This window comes from Homo sapiens, chromosome 13 (genome assembly GCF_000001405.40).
Source record: "Homo sapiens chromosome 13, GRCh38.p14 Primary Assembly".
NCBI classification, from domain to species: Eukaryota; Metazoa; Chordata; class Mammalia; order Primates; family Hominidae; genus Homo; species Homo sapiens.
The window spans coordinates 37769769-37787306 of NC_000013.11; the positions used below are offsets into that span (position 1 = coordinate 37769769).

General features: G+C 33.7%; 1 protein-coding gene across 9 annotated transcripts in view; it reads right to left on the bottom strand.

Annotated features, from left to right (window-relative positions):
* Nucleotides 1-17538, bottom strand: part of TRPC4 (transient receptor potential cation channel subfamily C member 4) — a 237710-nt gene that overhangs the window by 137706 nt on the left and 82466 nt on the right. For all 9 annotated transcript variants that reach the window (NM_001135958.3, NM_001354806.2, NM_001372055.1 and 6 more), the window contains exon 2: nt 13188-13592. In NM_001135958.3, the coding sequence (NP_001129430.1) occupies nt 13188-13565 (378 nt within the window). In that variant the 5' untranslated portion in view covers nt 13566-13592. The remainder of the gene's footprint in view (nt 1-13187; nt 13593-17538) is intronic.

The following is a 17538-nucleotide window of genomic DNA, read 5'->3' on the forward strand; positions in this document are numbered from 1 at the left end:
AAGTCTGATCCTAACAACCTGAAAGCATGACACAAATGTGAATCTTTAGACATAGATCAAACTGGTGTACTTCGTTCTGAAATTAATAATCATGACGATAATAACATTAAACCAGATCTAAATATACTAGGCACTTTACATGAATTTTTTCTAATTTCTAATACTCACAATAATTGTGGAATATAGCCATTTTCTGTTTCAGGTTAAATAGGTTACACAAATAGTAAGTCGTGGAGCCAGGATTTGAATCCATATTTTTCTAGATTCCAAACCTGATCATTTTCAACCCTGAAATATTTCCTTTTATATAAAACAAACCTCAAAATATTTAGTTTTATTTATATTTTTTCCTGTTTCATAAAGTCTTTATGATTGAGGCTAAAGTGATAAATATGACAAATATGACTGAAAATTTATATGATAAATATGACTGAATTTCAGGCCTGACTCAAGGACTAATAATCTCAGTAGTCCTTGGTAAATTTCCTCAACTTCTCTAAGCTTCACTTTCCACATATCTGTAAAAGGTGATGACTCCAGGAGTTACTTTGTATTAGGAGAATGGGGTGACATCACATTAAAGGTGATGTCAAAATGCACTTTAATTATCTCTGATTTTAAGGTTAGACATTGATTCTGCTTTTTGATTGAGAGAATCAGGCAGACTAAGTTGGGAATAAATAGAACATGATACAGTAAAGAGAAAATTCATCCAAAACAGGTGCTTCTGAAACCCTTGATTTAATGCATATTACCACCAAGCCAAGCATTAAATTTAGCATAAAAGCACCAAATGGAATAAGCTAGATCTATACTTTCTTAAGGCTGGTAATTTAAGTTGAGGTCAGGGGAATCAAAAGCTCTTCAGATGATAAAGGATTAATGAGTTCAGATGTTCTAGGATAAAGTATGCAAGAGAAATATGAATTAGCAACATTTAACATTAATTTATCGAATACACATTTTTAAAGTTTAAGCATTTTATTGATAGAATTAATAGTTATATATGTGCATAATAAAATATTTCGTATTGATTCCATTCAGGATGAAGCGTGTATCGTATTCTGCAATGGACTATCCGCCTAATATGACAATCTACTACACTTTTCCCCAAACCACGAAATAGTTTATTTTTAATACAATTTTACCATCTTCACAGAAACACAATGGTACTTGTCTATATCTTCTTTTATTGATGTTGAATTACTTTAATTTCTGTGTCTTACAAAATTTGATATGGCTATTTATTAGGTATTAGGTGCTATTAGCCTACTCTCACAAAAGATAGATGTGAATACAATTGGGAAACCAATATTGTATAGAAAACAGAAAAAAGTGAGGGTGCATGTTAAGCATAATTACTTATATTTACCCTAAAACTGCAGTTGATTGCTAATTAGATTCCTTGAGGTCAGGAGCTCATTTGTAAGTATGTTTTAACAAGATTTTGATCACAGTAGGCAACCAAGGAAATTTTAAAGTTATAAGAAGAAATGAGAAAATACATGATCCTTTATTGAAACTTTGCTAACCAAAACCCTTGTCCTCACTTTCCTACTTCTCTCATCTTAGGTTGTTCCCTTGCTGCTCTGCTATAGCAAAATTGAAGAGGGAGCAGAAGAGAGTGATTCTATTAATATATCAAGAATGCTGAGCATGAATAATAGACACTGTATGTGTGATTGTTCCAGATAACCTTTAGAATCTCCTCCAAACCTAAGAAACTATCTATGATTTTAAGAAAAGCAGTTCATTTTTTCATTATTTTTATGAAGGTATAGTGTGCATGAGTGTGTGTGTGTGTGTGTGTGTGTGTGTGTGAGCTACAGAAAGAAAGCAGATATAAAGAACAAGTTTTGATTGGTAAGATTCATTTTATAACCTAAGAAATAGAAAAATTAATAATAGACCATCAGCAAGTCTTTGTGGAGTCTCGAGTCCTTGTTATTAAATTTAGCCAACATTTACTGAGCACATACCATGTATTAGGAAATCTGTTGGGTATATGTAGAAGAAAAAAAGGAATCCAACATTTGTTAAAGAGGTGAGAGCTCCTTATATAGATAACAGAGTATGAAAGTTGAAATTTTTACAGGTACCAGATACAATTGATGACAGATTCCAGAGTTCACAATGCTTCAAGAGTATATAGCATGGAGACAATAGAGGTAAGGGTGGACTTGTGAGGAGGATTTCTTTGTAGACAACTGAAGTTGGACTAGGGGGCAGCTGTGTTCCCAAGGAGGAGAGAGAAATTACTGTCTGCCCAGGCACGTCAAATCAAGCCTGAGAGGTTTACCAGGACCATGGACTTCCTGAAAGCTACAACAGCAATTGGAAACTCTATGCTTGACGGATTCTCATTTCCCCTAAACTTCTCACTGGATTCTCTTCACTTCCCAAATCTTTCTCTCTCACACACACAGTTAGTGTATGGAAAGGAAAAGATAAAACTTTGAATTGGGGCTACTACATCTATTACCTAAGAGTGGGAGGGAAAATATGTCCAAACAAAGCCTAAGAGGACCACCCCAATAAACAAATGTCAAAAAGAGTTGGGGGAAAGCATGCCCAAGCAAAGCCTAAGAGGACTACCCCAATGAACAAACGTTAAAGAGAGGAGAGGGAGGGAAATGAAGAATTGCAATTTTACTATAAATCAAGTCTATGTCATTGCAGATGGATAAATCAGTAAGATACATACATATTCATGTGTGTCTGCATGTGTATATATATATAAATATATTTGTGTATGTATATGCATATATACACATACCCTCTGGTATTGTGAAGCTCACAAAGTGGAGGAAAGTAAAACATATTTTCAACATAATATTCTAAGAGTATGAGGAGGCGTATAGGATATGATTATAATGGTAGTAAAGAAGAGGGACGTTTAACTTCATCATTTATATCATATCACGTCATATTTTATAATTTATATCAAAAAAGGGTTCACGTTATCTGCCAAATAACTGCCTCCAACATGGATGGCGGGATCTATTTCTGCAGAGTCTCAGCTGTCAGGTTTCAGTTTAGAAATGGGCCCCTCCCAGAGTCTGTCAACTTGCTGCATCAGGCCGCCCAACAGGGTAATATTGAAATGTGCATTGCTTGACATTAAATCTCCTACACTCTCGTGAATGTGCTGTTCTCGCCTCCCCCTTCCCAGAAATTTCTCAATGTGCCAGCAGTGTCTCCCTTATTACTGCCAGTCTCTTCCTACAACAATCTAAGAGGAATTGAGAAAATCAGATAACCAGTTTTGTTAAATCAGTAACTTAATGCACTCAAGCTTCAGTCAGGGGCAAAGATTCAGTCAGGGGCCTCTGGCTGAAGGAATTTCAGGACACTTGCTCCATCAAAAGCATGGAAAGAACTCTCTATACTGCTTGGTGGCCAAGTTTTACTTCTAGACCTGTTCAAAAGAGCTTAGGTTTCTAGACATGTCAGGGTCAAAATATCCAGGCAATTTGGCAAAATAAGAATAAAAGCCAGGAAAACAGAGAAACCTACACTCAAATCTCACTTGAGCAAGTTAATCTCTCTGAGCCGCAATTTTTTTATCCATAACAGTTCAATATACGTGGAAGGAATCTACCAAATAAATGTGAAAATACATACCAAACAGTCAAAGAAAACATTTTCTGTATTCCCCACTCATGCACATGCATTTATTCCTCACTTACTGAACCCCTGTTACTTAGTAGTGACTGCTTAAACAAGTGTTCAACAAAGATTCGAAGGCTGCTACTAGGGTCAACAAGAATGAACTCTGCAACTCCTTAGCAGTACCCACATGGTGCTGGAGGGAGAAAAATGGCAGTTGAAGTACTTAGTTACTTATAGTGGCATTGGGGAAGTCCACCTCTCTTTTTAAAATGACAATAATGAAAGAACTTACCACAAGGGTTGTTATGAGGTTTAAATAAGATAACAATCTAGAATGATCTTAAGAGAATGCTTGATAAATTGTAATACTGAATTTTTTGGTAGCAATTTTTATTATTGTGACCTAAGGTGACTAGGGTAAAATATTGAAATATATTTACAATTCACTTTGGTCTGTTTGCTTTTTGAAATTATGTATTATGTTTTGAAGAAAATTATTCAATATATTGCTAATTGAGAATTCTCTGATATTTTGGAGAGTGGGAAATACATAACATATAAAGTCCAAATAAATGTGTAATTATTTCTAATTTTTACTTTACTCATCCAAATATTAATGTGTCAAAAATTCACATTTATATATAATGGTACTAGTGTTGCTTAGTGATTAAACTTATATCTCCAAGTCAAATGAATGTATATAATTTCCCTCAGGGACTCCAGAAATCAAAAAGGGATGTTGCAATTAAGGAGATGAGTATTAGGCAAAGTTAAGCCCACTCCACTTACGTATTATCACCTTTTTTAAGGGAAGAGAGATTATACATCCAGTTGACAAATTTACAACTATAAATTTCTCTTACCCACTCCTTCTGGGTGGGTTTTAGCATTCCTTCAGAAAGCTGTATTCTGTAAGTCAGTTCTCACATACTCAAAGCTTACAGTACAAAATTATTGTCAAAGGATTCTAATAAATGACTCAAACAATAGAGACTTGGAACTTTGACATATTTAGAAATTGATTAAAAAACGAGTGTATAAAACATAAATTGTGATAATGAAAATAAGAACACTCTTTTTAGGTGCTTGAAGAACTCATTCTTGAAAAGAACATTTATTTATTTATTTTTTAAACTTTTATGTTCTGGGGTACAAGTGGAGATAATTACATAGGTAAACTTGTGTCATGGGAGTTTATTGTGCAGATTATTTTATTACCCATGTATTACACCAAGTACCTATTGGTTATTTTCCCTGATCCTGTCCCTCCTCTCACCCTCTACTTTTCGATATTTCCCAGTGTGTGTCGTTCTACTCTATGAGAAAAAGAACATTTAAAATTCTGCATTACCTGTATCCTTGTTTGCTTGTGTTTTGATAACAAAATGATACTCATTTTGCCTGTAATCAGGGAATAAGTGAATATAGCAGGCAGAAAGAAAGGGTATGTTGAAAACAGTTACTGAGCCTTCTAATCATAATATGTATTTTCATAATTCCCAATTATATTAACATGTTATGTATTCAAGTAATTACAGTGTTTATATGACTTACTATTATTCCTAAATGATTAATATTTCAGTATTATGGTTAATGAAATTCAATTAATATACTGCTCACTGAAACATAATGCTATTAACTTTAGATTTAATCATGTTAATAATGGATTAGAGGGCTCTAATAAAATGACCCCACAAAATCTTTTCGACAAAACCCACGTATGAAAGATTCATTTGTCTCTTTCTTATTTTAATGTAAACTCATTCTTTATACTAGCACTAAAACTTCACAGGGTATTTGCTTTGAGGAATATTTAGCCTCTTCAATGCACACATGCATTATTAATTTAATCAAATATAATAATATAAAGTGCTTTAGGGTAAGAATATAATCACTTTCAAATGGTATCAGAGTTTTCTATTTACCATGCTCTTTCAATGCTAGGCATAGAACCTGGTGACTGGCAGCCGTAATCCCCTTCTTTTTCTTTTGTTTAGATTTTTTTGCTATTTATTTTATTTATTTGTTTTTTTTTAATTTCCAACTTTTAAGTTAAAGGGTACATGTGCAGGTTTGTTACACAGGTAAACGTGTGTCACGGTGGTTTGCTACACAGATCACCCCATCACCTAGGTATTAGCCCAGCATCCATGATGATAAAGTCAAGGCTCAAAGGACTAAATAATTTTTCTGAGATTATAAGACAAGATTAATATCTAAATATTTCTCTCTCTAAACTCTCTCTCTAAACATTTTCTCTCTCTCTCACTCCTGCCAACCTAAAGAGACTACATGACTCAGTTTCTCTACCTAAACATAGAGAAGAAGAGCCTCATCCTGTATTTTCATATTGTGGAATAAAAATCCCTAAACACTTAGAGGTTTGTTTTATTACTTGTGGCTTTTTTGTTTTGTGTTATCTGATTTTTTTTTTGAGAGTGGTAAATGCCTTTCACTCCTGTGTGTTCCAAATATATCTAATATTTTTGCTTTTATAGTATGTTGTGCTGAGAGGAAAAAGCAACAGAACATGTTTCAAAGCGATTATTTACCTATAATTTGCTGGTCTTCAAGACAAAAACCATGTCAATGAGACTAAGGAGGTTAAATGATGTATTAATATATGAGTCAGAATAGCCAAGTAGCTTAAACCACTTTATCATACTAATAGTGCAGCATGATCCATCTTTTAAGAATTCTTTCTTTCAGGAGAGAATTTTTCAGGTCTCTTATGACTGCCATTTGCCAGCTGACTAAACACAATCTATGCTCTATTCTGTAACAGCCTTTAAACTCCCTGCTGTGGACTAATAAGATTCAATTTAATTTTTAGACATTCAAAGTATTTGTTTATATTGACTACATTGAAAATATCAAATTTGGGGATCCTTTTCAGCTTTTTAATCTTAACGGCAGAATAAGAAAATAGTCTAAGAAACTTTCCTATTGATAAATCGATATATAAAGAAACATAATTGATAACTCATCTAGCTATGTCTCAATATGGGATAAGTATTTTATGGGGAGAAATGAGCGTCTTTAATACTATACTATAACTCTTATTCTTTTGCTCTCTTTAGCTCTCTCTCTCTCTGAATTTTGATGTTACCTAAGTTATGGTTACACATATATTGAGGCTCACTTGAGGCTCACTTACTGTCAATATCCAGGATTTGACCTCAAACAGGGTATAATAAAAACAAATAGAAAGGAGTAATTTCAATTGGGTTAACCACAAAGAAGTTAAAATGTTTTCATTCTTTAGAGGGTGGCTCTATGAGTTAGTTTATAGACTGTCTTGGTATACAATGTCATTTAATAATTACCATATAAAGTTCATGCGATTGCAGACTTGTTCCAAAGCCCAATGTGGAAAACCCAATGAATACAAGAGTTAAAAGTGAAGTTTTTCAGGGTAACTGAATCTTGAAACAGCCAGTAAGTGGATTCATTCCAAAAAATTTAGATTTGTCTAAAGAACATATTTCTATGTCCAGTAGACAGTAATATATTTACTGGAATCCATATCGACTAAGAATCTTCTATATTTTTATTCAGCAGTGTATATTTTGGGTTATATATTTGCATTAACATGCTAGTACCAATATCTTACTTCAGACTGTTTGATTTTCTGATCACATAACAGGCAATGTTTCTAAAGACACAATTGTATTAACAAATCTACTGAAACTACATATGTCAAAAAAAATCTCCTATATGCACTGAGGTGGAAAGAAAATAAGTAAACTGAAATATACTTTCTTTTGCTCTCCCTGAATTGGGTTTCTGTTTCCAATTGTATTAGTCCATTCTCACATTGATATAAAGAACTACCTGAGACTGGGTAATTTATAAGGAAGAGAGGTTTAATTGACTCACAGTTCCACAGGCTATACAGGAGGCATGGCTGGGAGGGCTCAGAAAACTTACAATCATGGCAGAAGAGTGAAGGGGAAGCAAGCATGTCTTCACACGGCAGCGGGAGAGAGAAAGAGAGTGAAGGGGGAGCTACTACACACTTTCAAACAACCAGATCTTGTGAGAAGTCTATCACAGGACAGCACTAGGGAGATGGTACTAAACCATTAGAAATCACCCCATGATTCAATCACTTTTCACCAGCTCCCACCTCTAATATTGGGGATTAAATTCAACATGAGATTTGGGTGGGGACACAGAGCCACACCATATCAACAATGGTGGCATTTTTCAAATGAAAAAAGAGGTCTTGAACTCTAGAGGGTAAATTGCTGATGCTTAATCTTTTCACATATTTGTGTTATTTGTACATTTGTTTGTCAATAGGAAGACAGAGATAATGGCATAACACAGTAATAATGCCAACACTATTATTACATGATACCTTATAAAAACACTTTTACAGAATTTGAACATCACTAGACTTTGAGAAGTAGGTAAGATTCAGACCACAGGCCTGATTAACAGCCAAGAAAAAACCAAGGCTCAGAGAGATTCAGACACTTGTCCAATTAGTAAGTGGTGAACTGGACTGGAAGCCAGCATTGCTGTCACTTCACTTCACTCTGTGCTCTTTCCCAGCACTTCACAGCTTCTAATGACTTTGTTATTTCTTAGTGCAACACCATGGTAAGGAGTGTCTGGGGTCACAATTAATATTTATTGGGCAACAAAATTATAAATGGCATTATAATATTCATGATAGAGACAGTCTGAATGTGTACATCCAGAGACTTCTTAAAATTTGTCTAATTCATATCCTGAATTCAAATAAGTAATTAATGATTTAAATGACACCCATTCAAATCGATGCAGTGGCTAAAGCCAGACCAGCATATGTCTTCAGAGACTCTTGAGTTCCAGCACTGGTATTTCCTTGCTTTGTGATCTGGGACATATTATTACGTCACTTAAGCCTTTTAATACTTTCATTTCCCCATTTGTAAGTGGAGATAGCAATAGGACCTACTTTCATAGGATAATATAAAGATTAAGTGAGATAAAACAAGTAAAATTCTAATCACAGTTACTGGCATGGTGACAAACTCAGTGAATATCATCTAGTATTAATATTGTTGTTATTTTTTGTCATACAATTTTTATTATTATCCAGACTATATCAAGGTTGGTTGCTAGCTATTAATTTATAGGTCTTTTCAGTCTGGCCAACCCACTGCACAATTGAGTCCCCTTTCCTGTCCCTCCTTTGTAAAATGAGGTGATTGATTAGGTTGATCTCCAAGAATCCTCCCAATTATAAAATACCCTGCATTATTTTTAGTAGAACTTTAAAACCAAAATTTCTTCAGCTAATCACTCTGGAATCTTCACTGTTTATAATGTATAGCAAAGTCTTTTTTTCCAAAGTGGGAATACATAATAAGGATGTTACTGAAATTGGGAAACTCTCATATATTAAATACCACTTAACAGCTAGTACTTAAGGGAATGAGTCAAAATTTCCTGAAAACCAGGTTAGCATAGTATAGTATGAGACATCTAACATAAAATATACAGCTGTAGGTTCTCTACAACCTGCAACATCCTCTGAATCAGTGGTTCTCAAAGCACTGTTGCTAGACTGGCAGCATTAGCATTACCTGGGGTACTCACTAGAAATACAAATCCCAAGGCCTCACTTCAGACCTGCTGTGTCAGAACCTCTGCAGGTAGGTCCTAGTAGTCTGTGTTGTAACAAGCCTTTCCAGTGACGATGCTAAAGATTGACAACCACTGATCTAACAAAAAAATTGAAAAGCAAGGTCTGCTTCTGATAAACATTTACTGAAGCAGCTGAAACTGAAATTAAATCTGGACTTAGAAGACATCTAAGCTCTGCTAAAAATAATGAAAAGTCAAGTTACCAATCAATGGACTGAAATGAGGGTTAAGAAGTCATTCTCAGTTATTCCCTCTAGAGAAATAAGGTATCAAGAAGGTTAAAGCCAAGTTCAGTAAATTCATCAGAGACTATCAGTGCAATGATTCCTGCTTAGTGTAGAGAATCAGAGGCTCTCTGTGCTGTCTCCTATGGGAAAGAAATAAGCTATTACTCTTCTCATTAAAAAAAAAAACCCAACTAAATTCAATACCCTGATTTATGAAGGACTACCTTAAATATGAAAGAAAATATTTAATGATCTATACCCATCTATTTATCTGGAAAGACCTGCATCTTTTCATTACATGCTGCATTGAGAAAATCATTTAATATACTAAAAATCACAAATCTGTAAAACATGTATAAGGTCAAAAAGAAAACCAATGTCAGAACTGCAGGAAGATAAGGTGATTTTATTTGCTTCAATGTCCTCCTTATCATCTACATAACAATCCCAGACCCCATTCTTAAATCCAACATTTCTAACTAACTCCTAGGTATTAATACTAACAAATCAAAAAACTACGCATGTCCAATTTGGTCTCATAAGTCTTTTCTTATAGGCTTTATCTCAGTTAATGGTGTTAATTTTTTCAAGGTATAAACCTATCAACATTCTTCCCCTTTTTCCTTCAAGCCCTTCTCCAGCCCTCTACCCACTAACATTTTGTGTTTGCCAAATCCAGATGATTTAACTTCATCATTTTCTGAGGATTCATTTTCATCTCTTCAGTTCTGACAGCCTTTATTCATATTCCCATGATACTTTTCTTTTCTGTATTCACAATCGGACCTTAGGACTCTCGAGAAAAGGAACGGTGTCTCCTCCTCAGGGCCCAGGACGAGGCCTGGCAGAGCAGGCATCTGGAAATTGTTCCCCTGTGAAAGCCTTTAAGTGTAGACAAATTCATCTGAAATCTCACAGCTCCCATGACCTGAGGATGACTATGAAATCTTTCTTTTTCCAGAGAAATAAGTTAATATGTGACAAATTTCTGAAAGAGTATATTTTGAATATGCATTTCTCACATTTAAAAACTACTAAGTGTTCTAAAAATCAGATTTGGATTTTTTTTCTTTTTATTAGAACCTCTTTCTTAACTCATTTTAGGATGTTACATTTATTTTGTTCAGTTGGATATTGTTGTTTTCAGGTTTTATCATTTGGCCTCAATGACCTCAATAAAATGAATGATGACGTGTCCCAGAATCTTTGGGCATACCATGAGTATGAAAATTAGGTGAATTAAAATAAAACACAAATGGCTTTCAATGATCACAAGAATGAGGAATTACACCTTATGAGAGAAAAAAGTCCTATCAAGGACATATTTGCTACTTACAACACAGTGATTTATGAAAACTGTCATTCCAAAAGATGTTGACCTTCCTTAGGAAATGAATTACCAAAGAAAATCACAAATAAACAGCCAGGCTCTAATGGGATTTGATACGGCCCAAGCACTGAGGCCATCTTTGTGTGCTATGCACGTTTCATGTTGCTGAAACTTCAGTTTTCATTGTGCAAGATACCAAGAATTCTGAGGGAGATTGAAATTACTCTTTCAAAATTATAAAGTTCAAACAAAATAATACAATTTTTGTTTATTCTCGGTGCCTTCACTGAAGAGGAATTCTAGAATGTACAAATAGAAAAGGAATTCTTGGCCAGCAGACTGATATAAGAGAAATCTTCCAGAAACACATGGCCTGGGAAATTTCAGACTCCTGGCAGATGGCAAACCTTGACTGCCTTTTATTAATAATCAGGATCCAGATCAAATGCCTATAAGGAGCCAGGACCTACTTGTGAGGCTAGAGTTTAGTTCAGAAGTTGAACATCTTCCAACAAACACTCTCATAATAGCAGACATCTTCTCCAGACACAAAATTATTCTGGTCAGTACAAATGTCATTGACTAAAGAGACACTGAAATTTATGGCCAGTGTTCTCTAGAAAATAGAACTAAGAAGGTTCTTTAGTAATAAACATCAAAAACATGTTCCATGGCAGTTTCATTCTATAGTCTTGCTGCAATCTAAAATGATTTACATCACAGCCAAAACATCTGTCTTATGGTTGCCTATATAGACATAAAATAAGAGAGTGTACAATATAATATCATTGCTATTAGAAAATGCAAATACTTGAGAGGTACAGCTGTGGAAAGAATTTCAGTACCACAAGGAGACTTAAGTAGTAGCACCTAAACTTACACAGATTAAAAACAGACTCTTACTCATTCCTGTCTGTGTTCTGTATCTCCTTAGTGGTGAAAGACTGGTATATAACATGAAATGTGTCTTTGGATATTACTATTAGTTGTCTACCCCAATCAAGGCTTGTTCACGTTTGAAAGAATACAAGAAACAAGCAAATTTTTGTAGCAGTAAACTTTTACCAATATAATGAGAGTAATCCACAAACAACCGTTTATGAAAGAAACAACAAAATGCCAGCAAAGCAACAAGCAGAAAAGTATTGTTGCTGTGGAGTGCTGTTTTATCAAAGTCTTAGTTCAAGTAAGGGGAAGGGTTGAATGGGGATGAAACATAAAAAAGGGACCATAAAAACACAGGCTTTTCCCAGCAGACAGGGACACTCAGCTATAAAGTTCTTTTCCTAATAATGGCAAAGATTCTGATAAAAGTCCTCTAGGAAAGCAAAGAGAGCTTGCTTGTAAAAAAAATGTCACACCTCCTAACAGTCTAGCGTTTGCAGAGACCGAGATGTGTATATTATCAAATAGGCTAGAATTTGCTAGAGCTAAAATAACATCCATTTTATAAGATTTTACTTTAAAAGACAGATTTTTGAACCGCTGCAGAATCTGCAGTGTCTTTGCAGTTAGTCAATTAGCCTTGATGCAAGGAAGTGACGAGTACAGTGTGAAAGGAAAAAGGATCAAATAGATAATTCAGACACAAGGCAGTTACAAAGGGAAGAGTCCAGACAGACAAAAACAGACTCCTTATTCATTCCTGTCTATGATGTCTCCACTTCCTTAGTGGAAAAAGACAGAGAGAAAGAGAAAAACACACATTGTATTTATAATTGTGTGCCATTTTAGTTTATTTTCTGTTGATACCTATAAGGTATAGCTACATTTGCACCATCAGTAAAGTTGATGTAGTTAAGCCCACAGTCAGAGTTCAGCTATCTCATAGTAATCCTTTTTGTTTCTTTCTTTAAGTCTCAATTTAAAAGAATCTACTAGAGTTTGTTAAAGGATAATATCAAAATTAGATGGTGCAACTCACTTTTGCAGTAAGCTGCAGAAGCCCAGAACAGGCAAGCAGGTTAAATAGGAAAATAACAAAATAATTCACCCTCTGATAAGGTAGAATTAAGAAAATGAAAGGCAAGAGGAAAAACACCCACACATACACATAAAGTTACGAGCAACCTATGTTGAGCATTACATAGAAATGTTTCCAATTTATGAGCAGTCTACTTAAATTACTTTATTTTGCTTTAGCTTTCACAATTACTTATGATTTTCCAGGGCAGGAAATGCAAGTGGACGTAACTATCATAGGACATGAAGGGTGTACCTAATAGTAGTTTTCTGTTATAATATAGTTCAGATTTTGAAGCTTATATTTCTTAAATTTTCAGGGCATTTGAAAATCTAAAAAAAAAAAAAGAAAGAAAAGAAAAAACAAAAAACCTTCTGCAGGTAAAATAAATTAAAAACTGTATTTTTGCAGGTACCTGTTTTTCTCCACTAGGTTTTTTGTGGTTCAATAACAGCTCAACAGCTCCGACGACTTCTTTTCTGATAGCATGTAATAGAGCATCTCCAACATAGACATTAAAGCTTAAGAGTAGTTCGATGAGCTCCAAGTTCTCATTTTCAATTGCAATGAGGAGAGCAGTTCTTCCGAGAGGATCAATGCAATTAATATTGATTTTAAAATAAATTTCAGCTTCCTCTAGGGATTTCTTGACACTGGCATAATCTCCCTTTTCCACAGCATTCAAGTAGGCTTTTTCTGATGGCGAGAGTTCTGATTCTGCTCTTACTATCCTTAGAGGGATGCGGTCTCTATAGGGAGCATTAACATTTCTTTTGTAATAGAACTGAGCCATGTTTCATGCCATGCTATTTCTTCGTCTCTGAAAGTAGAAACAAAAAACACAAAGATTAGTGTTAATATGCTTTTAAAATTGTTAAGCATCATACTTCTCCAACTCACAGTGATATCAATAACAACAATACCATTATTAGTAACTATTAAGAGTTAAGGTTTTTTTTTTTCTTCAACAATATAAATACTAAATAGTTGTTCAATTATGTGGAAACAAAGTTTTCTTTTAAAATAAATAAAAAGAGATTAACATTTGGTAAACTATTTAAAAAGTTACTCTGAAAGTGAATTTTATCAGAGAATGCATTTATAGTTTTGGAAATTATTTACAAAGTTTATCGTAATTATATATAGTTTTCAATCACTTTGAGTATCAGAGGCCATATTTTTGAGATCTCAAAACTAGACCAAGGATATTCAAATATATAATTCATTGTCAATTTTTCTAATTGTGGAAACGCTATTGAGATTATGTAATACCATTATGTTTGCAAAATATTGTTAATTTGTCATATATTTGTTTTTTGTTTTGTTTTGTTTTGTTTTGTTTTTTTTGGTAGAGACAGGGTTTTGCCATGTTGCCCAGGCTGGTCTCGAACTCCTGGGCTCAAGAGATCCACCTGCCTTGGCCTCCCAAAGTGCCGGAATTACAGGCATGAGCCACTGTGCCCTGCCCTCTATACTTAATGCTAGTAAGTAGTGACATCAAAGTTAATGTAAATTAACAACATTAATGTCAATAAAATATACTGAGCCCAATGAACATAATTATATTTTTTTCTCTCTGTGAGTTCATTGAGGGGGAAAGACATGTACTGAGAATATTAATCATCAAGATGAGTCTAAGCAATTCAATTTCCAGAAGAAGATTTGGAAAGGATTAAATGGAGAGAGAATTTATTATAAAAATGTTATTTTCTTCATTCTACTGCCTTTAAAAAATAACAATAAACCACAAGGCAGGAATGTATTCATTATAATTTTTTTATTTAGAAGTTAAAGTAAGGATATAGTTGAATATGAGAAAATTAATTCAAGTAAATGAAAGCTCATCTTACAATAAATTCACAAAGGTACTGGAAGCTATATTGATCTGGTATCGTCCTAGTGATAGAGATTCATAGAAAAAAAGTATTACATCTTGAGTATGATTTCTTTGTTGCTGTTAGTTCCTCTTGCATACTTATTATCTAACCTATTTTACTTTTCTATGTTATTGAAATTGAACTCACATATTTATTTGGATATGTTTGCTCTGCAAAATTAAAATGAATAGGGTGTTCTAGGTACTTAAACATGCATATTCTTTTTAAATGATCTTTTCAACCCTAATCATTTTATGAGTAAATGAATTTGATTTGTATAATGTTTTAACCATAGATTAAACATAAATTACATTAACAAATATGATTATATTTAATAATATTTTTATTTTGGGAAATTTTACATTGTTTGCATATTACCTCAATTTATTATTTTAATTATCAAGGAATTAATTTTTACCCTTTGACATCCAGATAATTCATCATGATTTCTAAAGTATCTAGGTGTTTAAGAGCTAATATGAAAAACTATTATTTCACAACTGGTATCTCTCTGGCATATTAAACATAGTATTTTGTAAAGCTACCTTCACAGACTAAGCAAAAAGTGAGTGTTCAATATGTATTAATTTTAGACGTGCAAATTACTTACTTGCTTGAGGGCTGATTATAACTTTAGTATTGTGGGGATGCTTTAACTCACTCTAGAATAACAGGAATAGCATTTATATTATAGAATATCAAGGAGAATTTAATATTCCCCCAATATCACTAAAACTTGAGTTAAAGCAAGATGATTATGATTCTATCTATGTCATTGTAGTTATCTGATCCTGATTGCCCCCATTTTTTGCATCAGTGATGCCAATTCAATGTTGGCCTTGGAAAGGTGGTTGACACTCCCTTCCTTGGCACCTTTTTTCTCATTCCCAGGTCAGAGTCTATAACAGTGTGTGGGATCAATGCCATGACCTTCACAGTGTAATTTTATCAGGACTGACATCCAAAAGTTTCATAATAATAATGACTGGTATTTATATTCAATTTCAGCATTATGCATACCCTTTATTATCTCAGTTCTTTCTTATCCATGATTCTTGGAAAAATACATGAATTTTTATTTTAGAGTTGAATTTAAGTTTTCCTACCAATAATATTTTTAGCTTGAGACTGGTGTTTGAATGTAGCTCACCCAAAATACAGGCTAAAATGAAAATACACACGCACTTACACACATGCATGCACACATCAGTTCTGCAGGTGAATTATGATTCAATCAAGGTTAAGACTCACGATAGAGAATGAAAAAACTAATTTATTTTATTTTTTCATTTAGTTAATTTTATTAATAATACTATCAAATAAAGAATTAGGTAGAGAACAGCATTTTATTTCTCATTGTCAAAGTACAGAACGTCAGTGACAATAGGGATTAGTGGACAAAACAGAAGCTACTGGAGAACTTTGAGGAAGAGGGAAGATAAAAATAAATTAAGCTTACTAATATCTATTTCATTTAATCCAGATAACTTCCACAAATGTAAACCACAGAAGTTCATTTTAAAAAGAGTTACACTACACAAAAAAAGAGACATATTTTAGTCAGCACTGTAATTAAGAGATGGAGGAGGTAAGGGATATTTGCATTAGGTAATCTATTTCTCTATCCACAAAGTGATGAAATCAACACTTACCAAGGAATGGCTGAGAAGTTAAGAATGAAAGCATTGGTGCTGAGAAAGATCTTTTGTTAACTTTTATGACCTCTTTCAATCTCTTGGATTTGAAATAAGTATATAAGAATTTATGTTAGGAAGTCTAGACAGATTTTAAATATGTTTAAAATGTAAATAGATTTAATAAATAAAATTTAAATATTTACAATGGAATCTAAAAACACTCACAGGGAGAAAGACACACACACACACACACACACACACACACACACACACACACACGTAGAGAAGAAAGAGAGAGAGAGAGAACAACTTTGATGGCTAAAACCTTAACATAAGGGAGTAAGGAAGATCATATAATTTTTCAGCACATGGGCTTGTCCTTGATTACTTGAGATGCGGGGATACTAACTGGAGGACAAAAACAATAAAGTTTAACATTTTAAAACTGTGCTACATAAATGCAATAGCAAGTAGCAGGCACTGATAAGGCTGATGAAATCTCTGAGCTGACACACTTATCATCTATGGAATTGCTACTGGATAGAAAGGCTATTAAAGAACAGGAGACCCAGTATTGCAAATATGTTGACCTATAATGTCAAAATAAAACATTGCTCCTGGTCCTCCACTTTTAGAATAAACTTTGGAGGGGAAATGATTTCTTCCCCCATGAGACTGCAGAATTTTAAGAATGCTTTCATTTCAATGTCTCCTGTATAACACCAGAAGTGGAATGACTGATTGGTCAAATTATATTTAGAAGATTTGGAAGAGATGAGGAGTGATGGGGAAATAATTCAACTTCTGAGATGTTATTTTTTATGAAAAATAAAAATTATTTCCCCTAAATGTGTTGAGGATTAAAAAGAAACAAGAAGGTAGAGAGAGCTACAACTTGACATTGATCCAAAGAGAAATTAAAATCGTCACTAAGTATGAAAACTACAGTTTTCTAAGCAACATAAAGATATACAACCAAAAATTTTAGATATTTATATGTATCTGAAGGCATATTGCCTAAAGGATAAGTTTAGTTATATAGTGGAAAGAACAGTGAATTTGAGTTCCAAGGAACACAAAGGAAAGGAATATTTAATATAGAGAGATCTCCATTCTTTAGTATGTATTACTAAAGAGGAAATGAATTTCCCTGAACAACATTTTATTTTCTTCCCTAGTTGACTGTGAAAAGATACATGTTTACGGATGTAATCTCATGACACAGTAAGAAACAACTCCTATTTGTTATTAA